Genomic DNA, 2,693 nt, shown 5'->3' with positions numbered 1-2,693 from the left:
TCACTCTTCCAGGGACACAGTTAGCACGGTGATGAAGCTCCAGCGCTCTCACCACCTCTAGACTCTGAGGGGCCATCCCAGCTCCAGAGCTCCCCACAGAAGTGGCTCTGTTTGTTGTAGGTGCATCACACCGAGGCTGGTTCTTTAAATTAACCCTGGGAGTGTGATGAAACCAGCAGTAAGTAGAAAGGACAGAAACAGGGAGTTGCTGCTACAAGACCCGAAAGTGCAGGAGGATGAGGGTGCACTCCTTCACCCCCACAGACACACACTAGAGGACCTCAGTCCCCAGCTTCAAGTGTCTGTGAGTGCCTAGGAGAGAGTCATGCCCACAGACATCCTGCATTGTAGGTCAACATCAAGCCCACCCAATAGCTCTGGTGCTCAATTCTCAAGAGATAACAAACAGCCAAACAAAACTTAAGGCTTTGATGTTTGGTGGTGACAGAGGCAGGAAAGAGCAGGTCACATGGAAAAGATAATCTTTGAGTAGTAAAGCAAGGAAAGATGAGCACACACATGACACTTAAAGGCCATAGATGATGGCTCTTTTAATTATGTCACTTTTTTTTTTTTTTTTTTGAGACAGAGTCTCACTCTGTCGCCCAGTCTGGAGTGTAGTGGCATGATCTCAGCACCGCAACCTCCGCCCTCCCAGGTTCAAGTGATTCTGGTGCCTCAGCCTCCCAAGTAGCTGGGATTACAGGCGCCCACCACTACGCCTGGCTAAGTTTTGTATTTTTAGTAGAGATGGGGTTTCACCATGTTGGCCAGGCTGAGCTCAAATTCTTGACCTCAAGTGATTCACCTGCCTTGGCCTCCCAAAGTGCTGGGATTACAGGCATGAGTCACCACGCCCAGCCAAGATACCCGATGTAAATCAAAATTAAAAGAATGCAAAACCATAAAGCACAAAATATATGCACATGTTGAGGTTAAAGGAACTCTCTTCTAGATTTCCTGATTCTGGTTGCTGAAGTGCAACCTTTCTCATCCCTTTCCTGTCCTGACTTTTCTGGGGCTCTAAGCCCATCCTTATCTGGCCCCCTGGGGGAGCTAGGTCTGCATATGGGATCTTGAGTAAAGAAGGAAATGAGAAAAAGCCTCAGGCAAAGGAAGAGCATGGACATGCAAAGGCCCTGGGGAGAAATAAGTATGACAGAGAAAGGGACTGGAAGAAGAGTCTTGAACATCTGCAAAGTGCAGACACACATTGGGCTAGAAACTGTGCTTTTACTGAGCAATTTCACCTAATTTTCACAAAACCCAATAACATGACTACAGATATGTTTTTTTCTTGAAACAGGATCTCACTCTGTCACCCAGGCTGGAGTACAGTGGTGTGATCACAGCTCACTGCAGCCTCAACTTCCCTAGGCCCAGATGATCCTCCCGCCTCAGCCCCCTGAGTAGCTGGAACTACAGTCGTGCACCACCATGCCTGGCTAATTTTTTTTTTTTTTTGTAGGGATGGGTTTTTGCCATGCGACTACAACTATTAATCCACTTCTATGGATGAGCAAACTAACATGTCGAAAGGTGAGATGCCTTGCTGTGGTCAGCTTAGGCTACACTATGCTATGATAACAGATGACCTCAAAAGTCCATGTCTTAGAGTAACAACCATTCCTTCCTCTGGAATGTGACACACACTTGCAGCTCAGCTCTGGCTCTGACCCTCATCACTTCATTCCAGGATTAAGGCTAAAGAAGCAACCCCCTTGTGGAAACCTGATGGTCTTGGGGCAGCAGTAAAAAGGGAAGGTGAGGCACAACCCTTGGAGAATAATAAATAAAGACTATCCATAGTATCACAAAAAGGGAGACCAAAGGGTGACCACAGAAGGGCCCTTAATGGGTCTGCCCAGAATTAGCACATACCACCTCCACTCATATCCCATTGGCTGAAAGTCACCCAGCCAACCTGACACCAGTGGGTAAAGATACGAAATCTCTTATAGACATGACCACATAGGGAAGGGCCCTCATAAGGTCATATATAACATCTCAAAAATAGCCAGACAGGAATTCAAATCAAAGTAGTTTTTCTCCCCCACACATACATCGTGAGCTCCATTCCAGCCCCTGGGCTATGCACTTTAGAGGACTCTGTTTGCTCAATAACAGCAAAACTCAGTCCTTCCAAATTAACCCCTGAAGGAAGGAAGGAAGCTCGAGCAAAGGAGAGGCAGCTGGACTACAAAGATATGATGCCCTTCCAAGATGCACTGTCCCCTTAAAATCTTATGCATCCTTCAAAACCCACCTCAAAAGGATGCTGTCTTTCCCCAGCTGAGCAGACCTCTCACTCCTATATGCCCACAAGTGGGCACCATACGTTCCTCTCTCAAAGTTCCTGTCCCCGACCACTGCACAATAACCTGTATACAGGTCTGTTTCTCCTACCAGACTGTGAATATCATGGAGACATAAGAATGGTGTCTCATTCAGCTCTAAACACAGTGCATAGCTTACTTGAGACATGCAGTAAAAGTCTGATGAATGAATAGGTTGGTCAGTGGATATATATGGGTGGTTGGTGGTGGAGAGGGTAGAAATCAAGTTTGGAATTAAATAAGAATTCTAGCTTTGCCACTCCCTGGCTGTGTGACTCTGGATTATTTACTTAACCTCTCTGGGCCTTTATAAAATAGGAATATAAGTATGTCTCTCACTGGGTTGTTAGGTTAGCA

This window comes from Homo sapiens, chromosome 22 (genome assembly GCF_000001405.40).
Source record: "Homo sapiens chromosome 22, GRCh38.p14 Primary Assembly".
Lineage (NCBI taxonomy): Eukaryota > Metazoa > Chordata > Mammalia > Primates > Hominidae > Homo > Homo sapiens.
Note: the sequence above shows the minus strand (reverse complement) of the source record.